This window comes from Homo sapiens, chromosome 4, assembly GCF_000001405.40.
Source record: "Homo sapiens chromosome 4, GRCh38.p14 Primary Assembly".
NCBI lineage: Eukaryota > Metazoa > Chordata > Mammalia > Primates > Hominidae > Homo > Homo sapiens.
In genome coordinates this window covers 127,710,086-127,733,455 of record NC_000004.12, presented here as the reverse complement: position 1 = coordinate 127,733,455, position 23,370 = coordinate 127,710,086, and the positions used below count along the sequence as shown (strand labels likewise).

Below are 23,370 nucleotides of genomic sequence, written 5' to 3'. Positions count from 1 at the left end.
CCAAAAATCCAAAATTCTCCAAATCTGAAACTTTTTGAGCACTGACATCATGGGCAAAGGAAATGCTTATTAGAGCATTTTGGATTTTAGATTAGGGATGCTCATGTGTAAATATAATGAGAATATTCTAAAATCTGAAAAAATTAAAAATTCCACAACTTTTGGTCCCAAGCTTTTCGGATACTCAACCTGTATAAATGATGACCAAATACTATAAGCAGAGTTGCTGACATGAGTTTCTGCAATGATGAACTCTTAGTAAACTTCTGAACAGAAGAAAGTACGATCTTTTTTCTACTTCCTTATATGGTAGCTGCATTACTGGAATCAGTGTATACTAAAATCATGCCCCAGACAATGTGTTTATAAGTAAATCAGAGTTAAGTTATTTCTAGGCTTAGAGAAACATAAACAGGTTTCACTGCTACACGAAAATCGAAGGGGAGATCTAAAAGTCATTCAGGTTGCGGGATAAATCTTCATCATGTATGACTGGCCTGCATATAGCAGCAGGACGTTTAACATTCCTGGCCCTTGCCTTTCATACCATTGTAAAGTAGGATTATACCCCTCTATCTTTGTGCTAAATAAAAAAAAATTGCCCCACAAGTTTCCGAAATTGCCTCTAGATGGCAATAGTATCCTTGTAAATTACTGATCTCTTAGCATAGGATACACCATGGTACCTTCATAAAGCTTTATATATAATAGAAAACATCTTCAAGTTCTACTTATGATCCTCTCATCTTGGAACTTAAAGCAAGGACCAGGATACATCTGAGAATGATATCAACTTACAAGGGCCATATTGAATACGTTTAGGTTTAAATATTGTGAAAAACATTTAAAATATGAAATAAATTAGCACTAGTCAGCCCTATCTGACCAGAATACTTCATTTTACCTGACAAAATATTTGAAGCAGAAAAGCTAATAATAGAGAGGCCCCTACTTCTCTTCAGAAGTCTTAGAATATAAACGAAGAAGAGACAGGTTCCTTGCTTTTCCTGAAAAAATCTTGGGGGAAATGAGAAGCTTGCTTTAATTAAATGAATGAGTGGAGAGAGGCAAACTATGAAAGACCTGAGCTTAGCTCCCAGATGATGCATTAAGTTTCTACCCCTGACCCCATATACTCCACGCCACAGGTCTGGAAGAGTTGTAACCACATCCCTAGCATTCCTAGGGTACAAGGTGCTTTTTTAAATGGGACAGTATCTGGCCCTAGAACAGGACTAAAAGAAAGGTCTGCACTGGAGTTGAAGCCACTTCATTTCTTGAGAATACACAATAAATGTCTATTTCTTTTTAAAAGATCATACAGATTTTTCTATTGAATCCAACTATATGGGTGGATTATATAAAATATCTGATAGACTTATCCCTTTAGCTAACTTGGGAGCCATTTTGCAGCAATGGTTCACAAAGCACTTTCGTTATTTCTTTAAATCATTCCAATATTAATAGAAAAAATCAATGATGAACAAAAATGAAATTTTAAATAAGGACAGTGCTTGATGCAAAAAGAAAAACTGGTAATACTGATCCCATCTTTATTTTAAACTTGTATATATTGTGTTTGTTATGAATTCTTTTGCATGACTTGATTTTTAAAAGATTGCATTAAAATAGTTTAAAGTTTTTTTTTTTTCCTGTTTTTAGGAGTGGAGGTTTAATAGAAAAAATAAAGAGAAAGGAGAACAGCTCTCTCTCTAGTTGAAAGAGAGGGGCTTCGGAAACGGAAGGACCCTAAAGTTTTGTTTGTTTTTTTGAGACAGGGTCTCACTCCTTCATCCAGGCTGGAGTGCGGTGGCGCGATCTGGGCTCCCTGAAATCCCCGCATCAGGGTCCCGCAAGTAGCTGGGACTGCAGGCGTGCGCCACCACGCCCGGCTAATTTTTGTATATTTAGCATAGACTGGGTTTCGCCATGTTAGTCAGGCTTGTCTAGAACTCCTGAGCTCGAGCTCAAGTGATCCGCCCGCCTCGGCCTTCCAAAGTGCTAGGATTATAGGCGTGAGCCACCGCGCCTGGCCTTAAAATACTTTTTATCTTGATGACTGAGGGTTGGGTTTTTTTTTTTTAGGGCCCCCTTGAATTTTGGGCAGAACGAAGTACCCCCTTGGTCTTCAGTAGAATAAGCAGAACCTCTTTTCACTAATAGGTTTCAGAGTACTGGTAAGCCCTAGTGCTCCCATATTTGTACTTCTCTTAGACATACTATTTCAACAAATATACATATAGATTTTGACTCAAGGTCTCCTCTGTCGCCCATGCTGGAGCATAGTGGGGTGATTATACCAACAAATATTTAAGCAACTTAGAGCACTAGTTATAGCAGAGTGCCTAATGGCATCTCCCTCAATCCTGGGAGGTCAACCACTCTCCTTCTGGACCTGGCACAGGTGCACCAAGGTGTAAATCGCACTGCAGATTTAGAGAAAGAGAAGGCAGTGGTCTCCCCGGTACCAGGACTTGGTCAGGACCAACGCGGCCCTGGAAAAGCAGAGCCTGTTAGGTTCAGAAACTAAATTCTGGAAGGGTAAGAAGCAAATTCATCACCGACAGCTGTAGCTGTGGTTGTGGGGCCCACAATCATGCCCCTCCCAGCCACCCTCTTCTCTGGGAAGCTGACGAGGGCGCCGGGAGAGGCTGTCGGGGCGGCCTGCCTTGACGCACCCTGCTCGCGAGGAATCCGCACCAGGCAGTCCACCATGCCTTTGTACCGCGCCTCGGGGCTGATCTGCTTCGACGACGCCTGCACCTGCAGCAGCAGCTTCACCCGCTCGATGGGCGCCACCGCTGTCTTGGACACAGCTGCCGCGACTCCGCCGGCCAGAAGGTCCTTCCCGAAGGATGAGGCGTCAAACAGCCGCTTTTCTGCCTTCTTTTTCGCAGGCTCACGATGCATGATGGAGAAGGATATAAAAACCGGCAGCAGTGGCTAAAAATGAGTACGGGAGCTACGATGAAGGGAAGCGGAAAACCGGAAAACCGCTGCAGCATCGTACTGGCGAGAAAGTGGCTCTTGGGACGCTGAGAGAGCCGCGCGCCGGCGAGGCGCGTGCGGAAAAGCTGCGCAGGCGCTCCAACGGCCTCCAGCCACGTGACGCCTGACACGTGACACCTGACACGTGACTCCTGACACGTGGCTCCTGGATGCGCGGTGACGCCTGCGCACTTCTACGAGCGGAGCCTGGGCTTTCTGATGAGGGAGGGGTCCGGAGGCGGTGAGCATTGAGCAGGAAAGGCGAGGGGAGGGGCCGAGGAGAGCCAGTTCTGTGTGAAGAAATTTAGTAGCTGAGACTAGGCCAGAGCAGTAAACCAGCGGTGTGAGATTAACAGAATTTAGTTTTAGTTCCTAGTGTTACCCCCTTCACTTTCTTAATCGCTTTAATCCGTTACGTTTTTTTTGACCAGAGATGGTTCCTTTGACCTTTCTTGGCATCTTAAAAAAGACAGTCTTACCTGTTGTGTGATTCAAGTGATGTTCCCCTTAAATTTCACCCTATGTGCCTGTTAATGCTTCAAATTCCCTTGGAAATTGCTTTAATCTGTTCCTTTAATTAAGCAGGGATCCTTTGTCTAGTCACTTTCTGTGTCGTTTTGATGATTGTGCCCCCATAGCATAATACATGTTCCTCTTTTTCATATTGTATTTAAATTGATAATATCCAGAGCAGTGGTTCTCAATCCAGACTGCACATTCAAGGGGATGAGGGGTGTTTTGTTTTGTTTTTCAAATTGATGCTTGGGATTAGGCCCTGCACATTAAATCAGAACGTCTAGAAGTGAGGCCTGGCATCAGTATTTAAATTCTCCAGGTAATTCTAGTGTTTGAAGTAATTCTAATTCTAGGGTTGAGGGCCAATGACCTATCTAGAAGAGTAGTTCACAAACTTTTCGATTGCAGGACCCCTCTTTTTCACTCTGAAAAATTATTGAAGGCCAGGTACCAGTAATCCCAAAACTTTGGGCCAAGTCCAGCCTGGGCAACATAGTGAGACCCCTCCTTTACAAAAAAAAAAATAGCTGGGCGTGGCTGCACAAGCCTGTAGTCCTAAGTATAGCTACTTAGGAGGCTAAGACAGGAGAAATGCTTGAGCCCTGGAGTTGTAGGCTGCAGTGAGTTATTATCTCACCACTGTGCTCCAGCCTGGGCAACAGAGCAGGACCCTGTCTCTTAAAAAAAATTATTGAAGACACAATGAAGCTTCCGTTTTTATTATGTATATTGGCATTTACCACTCAGAAATTAAAACACGATTTAAAAATATTTAATTCATTTAAAATAAAAATAATCCATTACAGGATAGCATAAGTACGACTTTTAAATAAAAAATGTAGTAGAAAAATAGTATTGTTTTATATTTTTGAATCTCTAATGTCTGATTTAATAAAAGACAGCTAGATTCACATTACTGCTTTTGCATTCAGTCTGTTGTGATATCATACATGTAGCCACTGGAAAACTCCACTGTTTATTCAGGACAGAATGAAAGTGAAAAAGGCAAATAATAGTATCATTTAAGAAAATACCTTTGACTTCATGGTGTTCCTGTCTCCGTGACACAGAGGGGTTTTCTAAACTGCACTTTGAGAACTCATTTAGAGGAGGTTGGCAGATTCAGGTTTGACTTCTTTCGGCAAAAATACTCAGTAGAGGTACGTCTAGCCTGTACATAACATTTGTCTTTTTCTTTCACCTCACTTTTTTCACTTAATATATCGTGGAGATCCTTCTATAGTAGCATTTAATATATCCCTTTTTACAGCTCGTTTGGTGTTTTGAAATAAATGGAGATCCCATCTTATCACCTCTTACTCTGTAGGACCTGCAGAGCCTTACAACACATCTATAAAATGTGAAATGAGTTTTTAGCTTTTTTTGAATGTTAGGTTCTAATTTTTCCTTTGTCTTATGTGTTATAACCCTTCTACTAGTACTTGTCACTAGTAAAAAACCATTTAGGTCAGAAGGATTCCAGACCAGGAATGTTGTCAATATTTTGATTACCTCACATAAAATCAGTTGGCAAGTCCTACTGATATCATATGTTTGGTGCTACTTCCTTTCCATGGTGGCTTATTCAACCTTTTTTTTTGAGACAGAGTCTCGCTCTGTTGCCCAGGCTGGAATGCAGTGGTGCAATATTGGCTCACTGAAACCCGGGTTTCAAGCAATTCTCCTGCCTCCGCCTCCCAAATGGCTGGGATTACAGGCATCCACCACAACACCCAGCTAAGTTTTGTATTTTTAGTGGAGACAGGGTTTCACCATGTTGGCCAGGCTGGTCTCAAACTCCTGACCTCAAGTGATCCACCCGCCTTGGCCTCCCAAAGTGCTGGGATTACAGGCATGAGCCACCACGCCCGACCGGCTTATTCAACTCTTAACTGGGTTTTCCAACTCGAATCTCTGTTTCTCTCTTTCACATGCAGCAGCCAGATTAATGTGTCTAAAGCATTAATTAATTAATTCTTAAGCTTAAACAAAATTGAAAGTCTTTCCATTGCATTGACTTCAAAATCCTTTGTCAAATTCATTGTAAATTCAATAAACAATTGGCTTTTTATTAGCAAACATCTGAAAAATGAAAGGTTTCGTTCTCCTTCAAGGGAATTTGAAGCATTAGCAGGCACATACGGAGAAATTTAAGGGGGAAATTACTTGAATCACTACAGGTAAGAGTGTCTTTTTAAGATCCAAGAAAGGTAAGGGAACCATCTCTGAGGACAGAAAGGAAGTGTTCTGCTGCTCCCCAGGGCAACTTTCTCTTTCTACCCTCCTCTAACATTTGATTTGATAGCTGACAATGTTTACATCATATTCCTTTATGATATCAAGCTTATTTCTGACATGTATTCATTGATAGAAGACAGACAAAAGTGAAAGTGTCAACTTAAAAATGTAGCTTTGTTAACCTTTTAAAAAACTTTTTGTTGAGACAGGGTCTCACTCTGCACCCAGACTGGAATGCAGTGGCAAGATCATGGCACACTGAAGCCTTGAACTCCTGGGCTCATGTAATTCTCCCACCTCAGCCTCCCAAGTAGCTAGGACTACAGGCAAAGACCACCATATCCAGCTAATTTTAAAAATTTTTTGTGGAGATGGGGTCTCCATATCAAGACAAGCCCAAGCTTGTCTTGAACTCATGGACTCAAGCAGTTCTTCCGCCTCAGCCTTTCAAAGTGCTGGGATTACAGTAGTGAGTCACCGCGCCCAGTAGCTTTTTAACCTTATTAAAAGCACTAAATCAACTCTTCAATAGGTCGGAGCTGAAACTGAGTAATTTACTGCATTGATTTTACTTACTGATTAGGGAAGGAAAAAAATTCTAGTGATTTATGTTAACATTAAAAGTAGAGTTTCTGGATCTTTGTTCTGTTCACTTTGCTCTCCGGAGAAATCAGCATGATTAGTTTCCTCACTTCAGGTCTGCAGTCAGCTCAGCATCCCTTTCCTTGGTCACCCTGTCTGCCACATCTTACATCCCCTTCTCTTGCTTTACGATTTTTTCTCTCAGCATTTACATATTTTACTTATTTATCTTGTCTGTGGTATGCCTCTCCCATTGGAACATAAACTCCATGAGGGCAGGAATTTTTAGCTGTTTTATTCATTGCTATAGCCTCTGCCTCCACATCAGCGCTTGGCACAGGGTAGAAATGCAATAAATACATGTTGGATGAATGCATGAAAAAGGCAATACAACTGCAAACAAACCTCCAAACCAGTTTTATTTAAAACTATCAATATAGTATAAAAGTAGCTTTAATTACATAGAATATAGAAACACAACTGCAAAATTAAATTATTTCATACAGTTTTGGTGCATAAAGTTTCAATAACATTTAACAATTTAAAAATATCCAAAGTATAAATTCTTGTTCTGAAAACTGTTTATTGATAAATGATTTTTCTCAGCTTTTCCCCTACATTTTGTACAGTAGCAGGTATGATTTAGCTGACTACTTGGTTTTTCAACCAATGGATATTTAATAATGATAATAATAAATGGTAGCAGTAGTAGCTAACACTTTTATAGCATGTAATATGTGCCAGGCACTGTTTAGAGAGAATTAACACATACAATTATGTCCAAAGCAGAAAAACCTAGTAAATTGGTTTCACAGCTTTGCCCATTTGTATTAGAAATATAAAAAAGCAGGTATTACAAAATGCTATCTTGCCATTATACAGCATCATCAATAGTCCCTTGGCACAAATAAGAAACATTCCCTTACTAGGTACACTTCTTTGGCAAGACACAAACAAGAGCTAAAGAAAGGGGAGAGGGAGAGAAAGTAAGAGTCTAAAATGTAATTTTGGGGGGGCTAAACATATGATAATGAGACAGTATTTGATATTTTAAAAAATGCTAGCTATATATAGTTTTTCACATTAATAGTTGTTGGTGGAAGGGAACATTTGCATACTAATAAAATCCAATTTAACAACGTTTCTATGTCTTCTAAAGCATATTTCTAGGATATCTGCACTGTCATCCTGTCCCCCTTTATTTAATAAAGTAACAGGCACTTTATTGTCTGATAATCAGTTTGATGTTTCAGATGTGATTCTGAACATATTTGGAAAAATAGGCAGCTAAGTTTGCCTTCAGAGCTTAGTTCAATATCCATTTAGAAATGAAAAAATAAGATGTGTGATTTTATTTCTTAAAAATGCAGTGCCTCTTTAACATGGAAATTACAGTGCACATCTACGATACAGCAAATAATTTTCCTTTTATTAAGATCAGTAGTCTGCTCTGCCTTTTTATTTCCATTATTGAGCGATGGTCTCATGTTTCTCTGACACCAGGAAAGCAGTTCAACACATCAAAATTTCATTAAATGAAACAAAAAGTCCCCTATGATAAAACCCTACCTTAGTTCAGTTTGTATGAAAACCTGAGGTGATCAACAGCTACGTTTATTCATAATTATCAGTATTAGAAGTAGTTCATGGTATTTTCAGGGACATATCCAGAAATTTAAGACATTTAATAAATTGTTTTAACCAAAGTGTCTTAATACATATATATGTAAATAAGCAGTCCTAAGACAGCAGTTGTGAGTCAAATGGTAGCATATGACAATATTGTGATCTTAAGGGGAAGGTATTTCAAGCTTTTTTGTTTTTTAAACAGAGCCTCGTTCTGTTGCCCAGGCTGGAGTGGCAGTGGCACGAGCTAGGCTCACTGCAGCCTCTGCTTCCTGGGTTCAAGTGATTCTCCTGCCTCAGCCTCCCAAGTAGCTGGGACTTCAGGCACCTGCCACCATGCCCGGCTAATTTTTTTTTTTTTTTTTTTTTTTTTAGTATTTTTAGTAGAGACAGGGTTTCACCATGTTGACCAGCCTGGTCTCAAACGCCTGACCTCAAGTGATCTGCCTGCCTCAGCCTTCCAAAGTGCTGGAGTTACAGGTGTGAGCAACTGTGCCTGGCCTCAAGCTATTTTCTGTAGCATTTCAAGAACCAAGGTTTTTTACCCTAATTTGAATGCCAAAATTAAGGCCCACTAGTCACTAATGGGACAAATATGTAGTGGTTTGCAACTTAAATGCTTAAGTGAAAATCTCTCAAACTGTGACACAGTGATAATAGTGTTTCTTTTAAGACCAAATGACTCAAATGGTACACCCAGTGTTTTGCAGTTAGTTTTGACTAAGCTGGACAGCTCATATTTAAGATGGAAAAATGTAGAGACCGATTTTAGATGTGCTGGTATAGCTTGTATTCAAAGCTTAAGACCTGGAGAAGAAACAGCTCAGTGTTGGAATGTCTTGGGGGCATCGAACCTCTAGGAGGATCTACAGGGTAAATGTCAAGTAAAAATGCAGTATTGATGTTCTTCCTTTCTCTCAATCTACCAAATTCTCCCAGCCAAAGAAAATTCTCCACCATTAGTTTTCTTTTCCAACTAAAGGTCAAGTAAACTATTGTTCACTAAAGTGTTCCCCCTTTGAAAAAACCCAATGCATAATGATCTATATTTCTAAGATAAAAGTTAGTATTTTTTTTTTTTTTTTTGAGACGGAGTCTCATTCTGTTCCACAGGCAGAAGTGCGGTGGTGTGATCTTGGCTCACTGCAACCTCTGCTTCCTGGGTTCAAGCGATTCTCCTGCCTCAGCCTCCTAGGTAGCTAGGATTACAGGTGCACACCACCACGCCCAGCTAATTTTTGTATTTTTAGTAGAGATGGGGTTTCACCATGTTGGTCAGGCTGGTCTCGAATTCCTGACCTCATGATCCACCTGCCTCGGCCTCCCAAAGTGCTGGGATTACAGGCGTGAGCCACCACCGTGCCCGGCCAAAAATTAGTATTTTATAAAAGAAGTCACCATAGAATTTTAGTTAACTTTTTCAGTGTCTTTAACATGATTTAGCTTTAAAAAAAGATTTACATGCAGCTTTCCTGAAATTCATGAATTATATAAAATGCATGTGAAATATACTTGAATGTGATTTTTTTTTTTGAGACAGGGTCTCACTGTGTTGCCCAGGCTAGAGTGCAGTGGCATGATCATAGCTCACTGCAGCCTCAACCGACTGAGCTCAGGTGATCTTCCCACCTCAGCCTCCCAGGTATCTGGGACTGTTAAAAGAGAGTGCTACCACACCCGGCTAATTTTGGTGTTTTTGTAGAGATGGAGTTTTTGCTATGTTGCTCAGGCTGGTCTTGAACTCCTGGACTCAAGTGATCCACCTGCCTCAGCCTCCCAAAGTGTTGAGATTACAGGCGTGAGCCACTAAGCCCAGCCGCTGAATGTATTTTAACAAAAACAAACAAAAAAAAATAAAGTTGACAAATAGTTTAAAAAATACATATATATACACACACACACATATATATATCCTAGTCAAAATTGAGCTTACCTGAAACTTAAAGAGAATCAAATAAATAAAAAGTAAGTTTAATTTTCATCTTTCCCCCTTTCCCCACAGTGAGGTATGTACTAGGATAGTTAAATTAACGAAAAGTATCTGATAAGGAATAAGTACTTGGACATTACTAATTTAGGAGGTGACCAACATGCAAGAGGCAAAAAAAAAAAAAAAAAAAGTAGAACAGAGAGCCCAGATGGTCAAAGAGAGGCAGCTCTGCTCTGCAGCTCCCACCAAGAAGGAAGAAAACTGTGAGTCAACTCTGCATCTTCAGTTGAGATACTGAAGTTCTCTTATTGGGACTGCTAGGTGGCTGGCATGACCCACGGAGAGCAAGCAAACAGGGTGGAGCAAGATCCCATCCAGGAACTGCACGCAGCAAAGTGAACTCCCTCGTCCAGCCAAGGGAGATGGTGAAGGATTTTGCTTCCCCTCCCTGAAAACCAGGCTTTTCCCACAGATCCTTGCAACTTGTAGATCAGGAGGTTCCCTCCTGAGCCAATGCTACCAGAGCTTTGGGTCCCAAGCACAAATCTCTGCTTGGGTGGGCAGCCGCTTTGAGCAGGCACTGAGACACTGGAGTATTTGCATACTCCGGCTCTGGGAACTCCCGTGAGGCAGGAGATCTGTCCACTCTCATGGGGAGGGGGCTGAAGCCAGGGAGCCAAGCAGCCTTGCTCTCACAGAACTCTATAAGCTAAAACCCACTGGCTTGGAATCCTCCCCCACCAGCTAGAAACTGCCTAAGACGACTGAGTTCTGGAAGTGGGGAAGGAGAGGGGGGAGAAGGGAGGGGAGGCCGCCATCACTGCGGCTTCAATTGGCCACTTTCCCTTGCTGCTAGCGCCGGCGAGATGGGGTGGAACCCAGATTCACTCCTCTTCACTGGACAGGGCCTCCCTGTGGGAATCTCAGCATCCCCAGCCAGGGGTTTATGGACAAAACGCTGATAACCCCAAGAGGAGCCCCTAGGAGGAAGGATGGCTGAAGTATCATGGATCAGTGATCTTAGTCTTCTCTGCCTGCTGGCTCTGGAGAGTCAAGGCAGTCCAGATGAGGGGGATTCCCCCCAGTGTAGCACACCCACCCTGTCAAGGGGCAGACAGACTGCTTATTTAAGTGGTTCTCTGACCCCGCTCCTTCTGACTGAGACCTCCCAACAGGAGTCTCCAGACACTTCATACAGGAGCATTCCGGCTAGCATCAGGCCAGTGCCCCTCTGGGACAGAGCTCCCAGAGGAAGGAGCAGGCTGCCATCTTTGCTGGTCTGCAGCCTCCACTGGTGATATCTCCTGGAAGACGAGAGACCCAGGCGAATAGGGTCTAGAGTGGACCCCAGGCAAACTGCAGCAGCTCTGCAGAAGAGGGGCCTGACTACTAAAGAAAAACAGAATGCAACAACATCAACAAAAAAGACACCACAAAAACCTCATCCAAAAGTCAGCAGACTCAAAGATCAAAGGTAGATAAACCCATGAAGATGAGAAAGAATGCAAGGATACGGAAAACTCAGAAAGCCAGAGTGCCTCTTCTCCTCCAAAAGATTGCAACATGTCTCTAGCAAGGGCACAGAACTGGGCTGAGGCTGAGATGGATGAATGTCAATCATCCATCCAAGATGGGAAATAACGAACTTCACCAAGCTAAGGGAATATGTTCTAACTCACTGCAAAGAAGCTAAGAACCATAATAAAACATTATAGGAGCTGTTAAACAGAATAACCAGTTTGGAGAGGAACGTAAATGATCTGATGGAGCTGAAAAACATGAGAACTTTATAATGGAAACACAAGTATCCATAGCCAAATAGACTAAGTGGAAGAAAGGATATCAGAGTTTGAAGACTATCTTGCTGAAATAAGGCAGGCAGACAAGATTAGAGAAAAAAGAATGAAAAGGAATGAATGAAACCTCTGAGAACTATGGGATTATGTTAAAAGACTGAACCTACGACTGGTAGATATACCTGAAAGAGACAGAAGAATGGAACCAAGTTGGAAAACACACTTCTGGATATCATCCAGGAAAACTTCCCCAACCTAGCAAGACAGGCCAACATTCAAATTCAGGAAATCCAGAGAACCCCAATACAATACTCCATGAGATCAACCCCAAGACACATAATCATCAGATTCTCCAAGACTGAAATGAAGGAAAAAATGTTAAGGGCAGTCAGAGAGATAGGCCAGGTCACTTATAAAGGGAAGCCCATCAGACTAACAGCAGACCTCTCAGCAGAAACCTTATAAGCTGGAAGAGGTTGGGGGCCAATTTTCAACATTCTTAAAGGAAAGAATTTCCAACCTAGAATTTCATATCTGGCTGAACTAAGCTTCATAAGTGAAGGAGAAATAAAATCTTTTTCAGACAAGCAAATGCTGAGGGAATTCGTCACCACCAGGCCTGCCTTGCAAGTGCTCCTGAAGGAAGCACTCAATATGGAAAGGAAAAACTGTTACCAGCCGCTACAAAAAACACATTGAAATACACAGATCAGTAACACTATGAAGCAAAAACATAAACAAGTCTGCAAAATAATCAACTAGCATCATGATGTCAGGATAAAATTCACACATAACAATATTAACCTTAAATGTAAATGCACTAAATGCCCCAAATAAAAGACGCAGAGTGGCAAGCTGGATAGAGTCAAACTCTATCAGTGTGCTGTATTCAAGAGACCCATCTCACATGCAAGGACACACATAGACTCAAAATAAAAGGATGAAGGAAAATCTACCAAGCAAAAGGAAAACAGAAAAAGGAGAGGCTGCAATCCTAGTTTCTGACAAAGACTTTAAACGAATAAAGATTAAAAAAAAGACAAAGGCATTACATACTGGTAAAGGGGTCAATTCAACAAGAAGAGCTAACTATCCTAAATATATATGCACCTAATATAGGAGCACTCAGATTCATAAAACAAGTTCTTAGAGACCCAAAAAGAGACTTAGATTTCCACACAATAATAGTGGGAGACTTTAACACCCCACTGTCAATATTAGATCATCGAGACAGAAAATTAACAAAGTTATTCAGGACTTGACCTCAGCTCTGGATCAAGTGGGACCTGATAAATATCTAGACATCTTTCCACCCCCAAACAACAGAATATATATTCTTCTCAGTGCCACATGGTACTTACTCTAAAATTGATCACACAATTAGAAGTAAAGCACTCCTCAGCAAATGCTAAAGAACTGAAGTAATAACAAACAGTCTCTCAGATCACAGCGCAATCAAATTGGAACTCAAGAGTAAGAAAGTCACTCAAAACCACAAAACTACGTGGAAATTGAACAACCTGCTCCTGAATGACTCCTGGGTAAATAATGAAATTAAGAGAGAAATCAAGAAGTTCTTTGAAACCAATGAAAACAAAGAGACAATGTACCAGAATCTCTGGGGCATAGCTAAAGCAGTGTTAAGAGGGAAATTTATAGCACTAAATGCCCACATCAAAAAGCTAGAAAGATCTCAAATCGACACCCTAGTATCACAACTAAAAGAACTAGTGAACCAAGAGCAAACAAACCCAAAAGCCAGCAGAAGACAAAAAGTAACCAAAATCAGAGTGGAAATGAAGGAGCTAGAGACATGAAAAACCCTTCAAAAAATAAATGAATCCAGGGGCTGCTTTTTTTTGAAAATATTAACAAAATAGACTATTAGCTAGACTAATAAAGAAGAAAAGAGAGAAGAACCAAATAGACACAATAAAAAATGATAAAGGGGATATTACCACTGATCCCATGGAAATATAAACAACCATCAGACAATACTATAACAGCTCGGTGCAAATAAACTCGAAAATCTAGAAGAAATGGATAAATTCCTGGACACATACACCCTCCCAAGACTGAACCAGGAAGAAGTTGAATCACTGAATAGACCAATAACAAGTTCTGAAATTGAGGCAGTAATTAATAGGCTACCAACCAAAAAAAGCCCAGGACCAGATGGATCTACAGCTGAATTCTGCCAGAAATACAAAAAGAAGCTGATACCACTTCTTCTGAAACTATTCCAAACAAATGAAAAGGAGAGACTCCTCCCTAACTCATTCTATAAGGCCAGCATCATCCTGATATCAAAACCTGGCAGAGATACAACAAAAAAAGAAAACTTCAGACCAATATCCCTGATGAACATCAATGTAAAAATTCTCAATAAAACACTGGCAAACTGAATCCAGCAGCACATCAAAAAGCTTATCCACCACGATCAAGTTGGCTTCATTCCCGGGATGTGAGGCTGGTTCAACATATGCAAATCAATAAACTTAATTCATCACACAAACAGAACTAAAGACAAAGACCACATGATTAACTCAATAGATGCAGAAAACACCTTCAATAAAATTCAACATCCTTTCATGTTAAAAACTCTCAATAAACTAGGTATTGAAGGAACATACTTCAAAATAATAAGAGCCATTTATGACAGACTCACAGCCAATATCATACCGAATGGGCAAAAGCTGGAAGCACTCCCCTTGAAAACCAGCACAAGACAAGGATGACCTCTCTCACCACTATTCAACATAGTATTGGAAGTCCTGGCCAGGGCAATCAGGCAAGAGAAAGAAATAAAGGGTATTCAAAGAAGAAGAGAGGAAGTCAAAATGTCTTTGTTTGCAGAGGACATTATCCTATATCTAGAAAACCCCATTGTCTCAGCCCAAAAGCTTCTTAAGCTGATAAGCAACTTCAGCAAAGTCTCAAGATACAAAATCATTGTGCAGAAGTCACCAGCATTCCTATACACCAACAACAGGCAAGCAGAGATCCAAATCATGAATGAACTCCTACTCACAATTGCTTCAAAGAGAATAAAATACCTAGGAATACAGCTAACAAGGGAAGTGAAGGACCTCTTCAAGGAGAACTACAAACCACGGCTCAAGGAAACCAGAGAGGACACAAACAAATGGAAAAATATTCCATGCTCACAGACAGTAAGAATCAATATCATGAAAATAGCCATACTGCCCAAAGTAATTTATAGAGTCAATGTTATTCCCATTAAACTACCATTGATATTCTTCATAGAATTAGAAAAAACTATTTTAAAATTTATATGGAACCAAAAAAAGAGCCTGTATAGCCAAGGCAATCCTAAGCCAAAAGATCAAAGCTGGAGGCATCACACTACCAAACTTCAAACTGTACTGTAAGGGTACAATAACCAAAACATCATGGTACTGGTACAAAAACTGACACATAGACCAATGGAATAGAATAGAGAACTCAGAAATAAGATTGCACATCTACAACCATCTGATCTTCAACAAACCTGAGAAAAACAAGCAATGGGGAAAGGATTCCTTATTTAATAAATGGTGCTGGGAGAACTAGCTATCCATATGCAGAAAATAGAAACTGGACCCATTCCTCATACCTTATACAAAAAATTAAGATAGAATAAAGGCTTAAATGTAAAGCCCAAAACTATAAAATCCCTAGAAGAAAATCTAGGCAATACCATTTAAGACATGAGCATGGGCAAAGATTTCATGATGAAATCACAAAAGCAACTGCAACAAAAGCAAAACTTGACAAATGGGATCTAGTTAAATTAAAGACCTTCTGCACAGCAAAAGAAACTATCATCAGAGTGAACAGGCAACCTACAGAGTGGGAGAAAATTTTGGCAATCTATTCATCCAACAATGATCTGATATCCAGGATCTACAAGGAACTCAAACCAAGTTACAAGAAAAAATAGAACCGCATTAAAAACTGGGCAAAGGACATGAACAGACACTTCTCAAAAGAAGACATTCATGCAGCCAACAAACATATGAAAAAAAAGCTCAATATCACTGATTGTTAGAGAAATGCAAATCAAAACCACAATGAGATATCATCTCACACCAGTCAGAGTGGCTATTATTAAAAAGTCAAGAAATAACAGATGCTGGCGAGGCTGTGAGGAAATAGGAACGCTTTTACACTGTTGGTGGGAATGTGAATTAGTTCAACCATTGTGGAAGACAGTGTGGTGATTCTTCAAAGATCTAGAACCAGAAATGCCATTTGACCCAGCAATCCCATTACTGGGTTTATACTCAAAGTAATATAAATCATTCAATTACAAATATATATGCACACATATGTTCATTGAAGCACTATTTACAATAGCAAAGACATGGAATCAACCCAAATGCCCATCAGCAATAGACTGGATAAAGAAAATGTGGTACACATACACCATGGAATACTATGCAGCCACAAAAAGGTATGAGATCATGTCCTCTGCAGGGACATGGATGAAGCTGGAAGCCATTATCCTCAGCAAACTAATGCAGGAACAGAAAACCAAACACTGTAGGTTCTCACTTATAAGTGGGAGCTGACCATGAGAACACATGGACAAAGGGAGGGGAACAATGCACACCAGGGCCTGTTGTGGGGGTAGGGAGAGTATTAGGAAAAATAGCTAATGCATGCTAGGCTTAATACCTAGGTGATGGGTTGATAGGTGGAGCAAACCGCCATGGCACATGTTTACCTATGTAACGAACCTGCACATCCTGCACATGTACCCCAGAACTAAAACTAAAACTAAAATAAAATAAAAGCACATTTTACTTAAGAGGTATTTTTGAAACCTCAATGCAATCATCTCATTTTACATGAAAACTCTGAGCTTAGAGAGGTACAAAAACTTGCTCATGGTCATAGCACTACTTAGTTACAGCACCTGGTCACCTGCTCCCAATTTCATAATCATTTCATCAGATATCAGTATGAATTTTGAGAAAAATAAACAACAACAAATTGAGTATTTTTCAAGAATAAACATTTCCTATATTAATCTGATATAAAAAACACTTCACATTATTTCAAACTAGTCAATAAATTAACATTATATACCAAAATAGCAATAAGTTAACAATCCCTTCTTTCACATTTTAATCAAGTATATTCTCAAAAGTCTTACAATATTACATTAAGATTTAATGTATCAAATCCAACAGCATTTCATCTCAATATTTAACAATATTATGTTCAATATTGAATAGTAAAAAGAAGCTAAACTTTATCTCTTTGTGTATTGATTTCAGCAATTCTGACAGTGTTTGATCCTCCATGCACGTGTTTCTACGCATCAAGAAAGCACAGCTACAAGGTTAACCCAAAGAACAATTTAAAAGCTATTTCAATGGCAATTTCTGTGACTGAGTCATGAAAACAGACATAAAGTTCTTGAGGTTTTGGATGAAGAAAAAGTCTCCTGCAGAAGAAAAGAACACACTCATTTCAGAAATTAAAACAACAAACAACAAAAACTCTAACCATCCAATTAATTTAATTTTTGTTTCTGAAAGCATCAGTAGTAAATTTAAAATCCATGAATCTAAATCTATACTAGGGAGAAAGCAGCTAGATTTATTTCTAAATAAATAATATATGCCTTAGGTCAATTAGTTTTTATTGCTCTAGAGTGTAATAATCCTATTTTATCAATATGTATTATGATACCACTCAGTTTTTAAATAGCAAATCTAGTTATTATAATAAAGGCAATAGCACTAGCATTATAGGCACAATAGTTATTAAGTATTTTATTGCTCTTTACTTTCTAATGTTTAATTTTTATTAAAACATTAAATATATGGTAGCTTTTTTTGGCAAATAGAACTGAATTGGAATTAACATTGAAATTTTGTTTGGTTTTCTTAAAGAGTTAAAATTGAAATCCATTTAATCAATACTAATGTATACAAATTGATCTATTTAAACTGGAGATAGTTCTGCCTGATTTTCTTAAATTTCTCTTCTGCATAAATCTGCATTATCAAAATTCAACATCTTTTGATTCTTTCTATTCCAATTGTCATGAACGTAGTTAACACTCGACTGAACAGCTACATGTGTGCCTAACTGGTCTTCTCATTTCTAGTATCTCTCATGTGCACATCATTCCATTGGCGCTCCCTGTTTAATCTTCCAGCAGTACAACTCTGATTACACTACATGGAATTAAGCTTACACTGATGTTCCCAAGCCTGGTTCACAGGATAATCACAAAGGAGCTTACTAAAAATACAGATTCCCACTCTCACAGATTTTGATTTAGTAGGTCTGGGGCCCAGGCATCTCAGATTTTAACAAGTGACTTAGGTGATTCTAAATCCCATGGACTAGCACATGGGAATTTCTGCTTTGGATAATGTCTGTAAAGTGTCTGTCATACAGCTTAATACTACATGGTATGTGTCCACTACCCCTACTCCCAACTAATTCTGTGCCCTTTCCTCCACCAACCTCTACTCCAACTCAAATAACCTTCTGCAGTGGTCCTAACTTAGGTTCCCAACTTGATCTTTCACTTAATCTTTGTATATGCCATTCCTCTACCATCCTGGCAAACCAGTCTGTTCACTGCTGTGCTGTATAATTTCCACTGTTCGCATCTTTGTTCATTAGATTTTGCCCCCTCCTCAGAATTCCTATAGTATTTGGTTGTATCATCAGATTCATTTTACATATATGTATACACACACATATATATAAGATTTCTCTCTATACCTATAAATATAGATATATAAATATATAGATATTTCAGCATATTTCATAATTCTTCTGCTAGATATAAGGCCCTTAGAGGCAATGACTATGTCTCTGTGTTTGCCATACCGCCCACTGCCCACCCAACCCACCACCAGTTTCACATTTTGCCAGGCACAGTCTCACCTACTCAGCCATCACATGTTTATCAAGTGACTATATTATGTGCCAGGTACTGTTGCAGGTGCCAGTGGTGGACAAGACAGATACAATTCCTGACCTCATGAAGCTGATATTGTAATGAGGGTGGGGGGTGGAGAAGGACAAGAAAATAAACAATAAAAGAGTCATATAGAGAATAACTGAGTAGCCACTTTGATGAGGGAAAGAGATAATGGATCGTCTCTGACAAGATGACCTGTTAGCACTGGTCTGAATATCAAGGATCCAGAAGTGCAAAGGTCAAGGGATAGAATATCCCATGCAGAAGGAACAACAGAAACAAGATTTGATTGGTGCTCGTGCAGCTGGTGCACAGTGGATGGAAGAGGAAGGAGACAGGAGATGGAAACAAAGGTGGGCAGGGTCCTGACTGGGCATGGTCCTGTGGCAGGGGCCAGAGAGAGGGGAAGGGAAGAAAAGGGAGAGGATGGTAAGAGGGAAAGAAAGGAGAGAGGGGGAAAAATGAAGGAAGCAGGGGAAAAAGGGAAGAAGAGAAAAACTGGAATTATTCTTTCAGTGTATTACTGAAATTTAATTTTGTAAGATAATTTTCAATAGAAAAATACTTGGGAGGGATTTAAAGGAGATACTTAGCAAATAAAATGAAATATATTAAAATAGTATAGCTAGATAAAAAATTCCATGCTTACATTTTAAAATGTTAATCTCCTTTACCACTTTTCTTTCACTTTTCTAACACTTTACTTTCAAATACTTTTTTTTCTCACTTACCCTACTACCCAGTAAGCCATAACTGGTGGTGCTTTTTTCTGATCAGTCCAGTTTCCAGGTGAACATTCAAACAACACACCATGTTCTTTAACAGGGTTAAGAGAAGACACTGACTTTGCAGAATCTGAATGGTCTCCACTATTTAGTCCTTTCTTTTTCTGTAAATTAATAGGTATTGTTAGTATTAACTGGTATTACCAGTGTTACTTTAAAATGTTTTCACAGAGTAATCTGAATTGGCTGATCCAAATACTTCAGTGCCTGCAATGACATTCTTCTTATCTGCAGGAAAATTTCTACTCTTCCTCAAAACTTAAATACCATATCCTAAAGGAGACTTCATGGATAAAGTGTCCCTTGACTTTTCTAGGGAACACTTTGTTCACAGGCCTATATTATTAGTATGTATATTATATTATATTAGCAGTTTATAGATCTGTCTTCCACAGTGGAAGATAGAAAATTATAAGCTTTTTTCCCCAGGGAAGAGACAATATGCAATCTTCTTTGTGTGTTTTAAAACCAGCAGTGCCTGGTTCATAGTAGGTGCTTAATAAATGTGTTCTAAATGAACAGATAATTCTGTAATAAATTGAAAAAATATATATTTAAAACAGTATTTTGTCTTCCTTTGACCCATAATCTCTAAATTTCATACTGATTAAAGCATTAGCAAAACAATGACTCATTTGGACTATAAAGGCTTCTTATAAGTTTCAGGGCAAACAGTGGAGTGATCCTTGATCCTTTTCTTTCCTTCATAGCTTTTATCTAATCCATCAACAGATCTTTTTGGTTTGCCCTCCAAAATATATCCACAGTCCAGAAGCCATAATCATTTCTTGCTTTGAGAATTTTGAAAGCCTCCTAACTGGTCCCTGCCTCCACCCTTGCTATTCTGTTTCCTGTTCTACCCACAGTAGCCTGAGTGATCCTTTAAAAAAATTACGGATCATGTCCCTTATTTGGGCAGAACTGTTCAAGAATGTATCATCTCTTTCAGAACAAAGCCCAAAGTCCTTATCATAGTCTATCCGGCCATGCATAAGCTGGCCCTGCTACCTTTGTGATCTCTTCTTCCACTTTCTTCTCACTCAGTTTGCTCCAGTACTCTCCCAGCCCCTAGGGGATGGTTTCAGGATGAAACTGTTCCACCTCAGATCATCAGGCATTAGAGTCTCATAAGAAGTGGGCAACCTAGATCCCTTGCATGGACAGTTCACAGTAGGGTTTGCACTCCTATGAGAACCTAATGCCGCAGCTGACCTGACAGGAGGCAGACCTCAGGCGGTAATGCTCTGCAGCTTTGCATTTGCTGTTCCCCTTGCTGGAAGCTCTGTCCCCAGAGAGCCACATGGCTTGCTCCCTCACTTCATTCAGGTCTCTGTTCAAGTATCACTTGACATGATCAGAGAGACCTTTCAAAATAGTCACTCCCACCTCTAATCCTTACCATGTTTTATTATTTTGCTTGACACTGATTCTTCTCAGCATACTATTTTCTAATTCTTCTCAGCATACTAATTTCTAATTAGAAAATAGGCTTCGTGAAGGAAGGGACTTTGTTTTGTCCACTGTTGTATCCCACGTTCCTAGAATAGTGTCTGGTGCAGAGTAGGTACCTCAATGTTTAAATAAGATGGGGAAAACTAATTTATATTACTAAATATTATCAAATAAGTAAATGAAATATTCCTTTATAACATTTATCAGTTAATGTTAAAAAGGGAAATAGGAGCATAAGAACCCAAAGCATACAGGAATATAGGGTCAAACACAGTATTTTTACAGAATAACAATTTCTGAGGACTCAAAAAAAAATCCTACAAGACACAGAATTTTACTGCTGAATGAACCTGGAGAGATGATGTAATTCAGCCCACTTGCTTCATAGCTAAGGAAATAGGAGGTGAGGCTCAGTCCAGGATTCCTTATTCCTTGTCCAATGTTCTTCCACTTTTAAACCCAAGTTCTTCACAAATTTGGCATCCCTAACACATGTATTGCTATATACATTACAACCATTTTCAGAGAGGTTTTTTGGCTGTATAACGTCACAAGTAAACCTCTGTAAGTTTTATCCTTTTCAAGAAATCAACACCTATCTTTTCCTGCCATTTAAATAATCTGATATTGTAATTGTACACAGCATTATTATTTATTCAACAGATAACAACATTCAATGAAACTTCATCCTGGATAGAAAAGCAAGCAAGCAATCAACCAACCAAATGCCAAAAAATTTGCATTAGTCTTGTGTCTATAGCTGTACCTTAACCCAGCAGTCCCCAACCTTTCTGGCATTGGAGACCAATTTCTGGGGGAGGGATGGTTTCAAGATGAAACTGTTCTACCTCAGATCATCAGGCATTAGATTCTCATAAGAAGTGCACAGCCTAGATCCCTCACATGCACAGTTCACAATAATAGGGTTTGCACTCGTATGTGCTGCTGATTTGATAGGAAGCAGAGCTCAGGCAGTAAGGCTCCCTGGCCCGCCACTCACCTCCTGCTGTGCAGCCTGGTTCCTAATAGGCCACAGAGAGCTACTGGTATGTGGCCCAGGGGGGTTGGGGACCCCTGCCTTAATCCATTATATTCCAAAATCCCTATACTATTGGCTAAATACTCAAAGAATTATCAGAGTTATTTTAGGAACCAATTGGTAGATATTATTACTCAAGTAATGGTTGAGTCACAGATATCAAATATGGAAGGTTAATTTACATTACAAACGACTGTATTTTGCTTTGCTGTAGAAAACACAGGTCTACCATATCCTGAAAAGTAACCCAAGACATCAGATTCAGTATAAAATAAAACCTTGAAGTACTGTGAGTATAATTGTTTTGGCACCCACGTTAGATTAAGTGACTATTTAAAAAAACTTAATGAAATGAAAACAATGCTGGGCATATTGATTAGATAACAGAATGCTTAGAGATCTGGAAATTAAACTGGCAGAAAACTGTATTTATAGCAGTGCCCTACCTCTTCCACCAATGTCTGTTGGAAAACTGCACGAATGGAAAGACAACACTGATGGAAATTCTTTATTAGCTGAGGGTGGATAGAGCCACTTAGCTGTGCCACCTCTTCAAGGGTAGGAGTAATAAAGATTCCTTGCACTGTTTCTAAGGCAACGTAGTGGAAAAGTGTGTTCTCAGGACCAGATGTCAGTCTTAAAAAGAAAAAAAATCAAAGAGAAGAAAAAAGAAATTTTAGTAAATTTTAAAATATTGGTTCATTTTGAATTTAGTAGACTTCTTATAAGCTTTTATCTACAATATAATATTAGTAGTATAATTAGGGAAGGGAAACTGGGCTAAACATTTAATTCCCTCTTCATCCGTAACTGAAGTACAAGCTAGGGTTATTAATTCCCTTAATGGAGGCAAATACTACATGTTATGCAAGGATAAGTAAACCTCAATTCATTTGCAAGTAACTTAATCATTCCTTTGCTAAACAACCCAAATTGGCTAACTGTCTCTTTTTCCATGGTTGGTATTAAATAATTCAGCTCGTGTCTGGCCCAGATAGCTATAAGCCATAAACAAGATATCAGTCTAGGGTAGACCACATATAAAAATACCTTCCAACAAATTAAATACATTTAAGTTAGTAGCATTAAAGTATTTTACCATGATAGTCAAACTGATGTTCCTCAAGAACTACTGGAATGCAGAATGGGTAGGACTTAGTTACTGAATGAAATGTTTTATATATTATTTTCAATATATTATATATATTGTATTTTACAAAGATAGGTGCATAAAAGGTTAGGATAATATATTACATCCTGTTTTATATCATGCTTTTAAAATGAACTACATCATATAAAAACATCTTTGCATGTCAATAATGAGAATAAACACACATCTTTGGCACCTTTTAAAATAGGAGAGCCTATGATTTACACCACATGTGAATTTATGTTTAAACCATTGAACTTGAAAAAAGAGTCTCCTTTTACTAGAGACAATGCCAACACAACATACATATTTT

The 23,370-nt window shown here is 39.1% G+C and overlaps 2 protein-coding genes across 4 annotated transcripts in view, besides 1 other annotated feature; both read right to left on the bottom strand.

The window, feature by feature from the left end:
• SLC25A31 (solute carrier family 25 member 31) overlaps positions 1 to 3,056 on the bottom strand; it is a 43,893-nt gene extending 40,837 nt beyond the window's left edge. For all 3 annotated transcript variants that reach the window (NM_001318467.2, NM_031291.4, XM_011532298.3), the window contains exon 1: positions 2,679 to 3,056. In NM_001318467.2, coding sequence (NP_001305396.1) covers positions 2,679 to 2,910 — 232 coding nt within the window. In that variant the 5' untranslated portion in view covers positions 2,911 to 3,056. The remainder of the gene's footprint in view (positions 1 to 2,678) is intronic.
• Positions 3,179 to 3,336: a silencer, noted in NCBI's record as "fragment chr4:128651275-128651432 (GRCh37/hg19 assembly coordinates)". NCBI's record gives its function as "represses an EF-1alpha promoter that drives an FKBP-Casp9 reporter gene in an ReSE screen in K562 erythroleukemia cells {active_cell/tissue: K562}" and the evidence as "EXISTENCE:reporter gene assay evidence [ECO:0000049][PMID:32094911]".
• Positions 6,719 to 23,370, bottom strand: part of INTU (inturned planar cell polarity protein) — a 93,781-nt gene continuing 77,129 nt past the window's right edge. The window contains exons 14-16 of the mRNA NM_015693.4: positions 22,354 to 22,543; positions 19,363 to 19,520; positions 6,719 to 17,131 (exon numbers count right to left, since the gene is read on the bottom strand). Coding sequence (NP_056508.2) covers positions 17,020 to 17,131; positions 19,363 to 19,520; positions 22,354 to 22,543 — 460 coding nt within the window. The 3' untranslated portion in view covers positions 6,719 to 17,019. The remainder of the gene's footprint in view (positions 17,132 to 19,362; positions 19,521 to 22,353; positions 22,544 to 23,370) is intronic.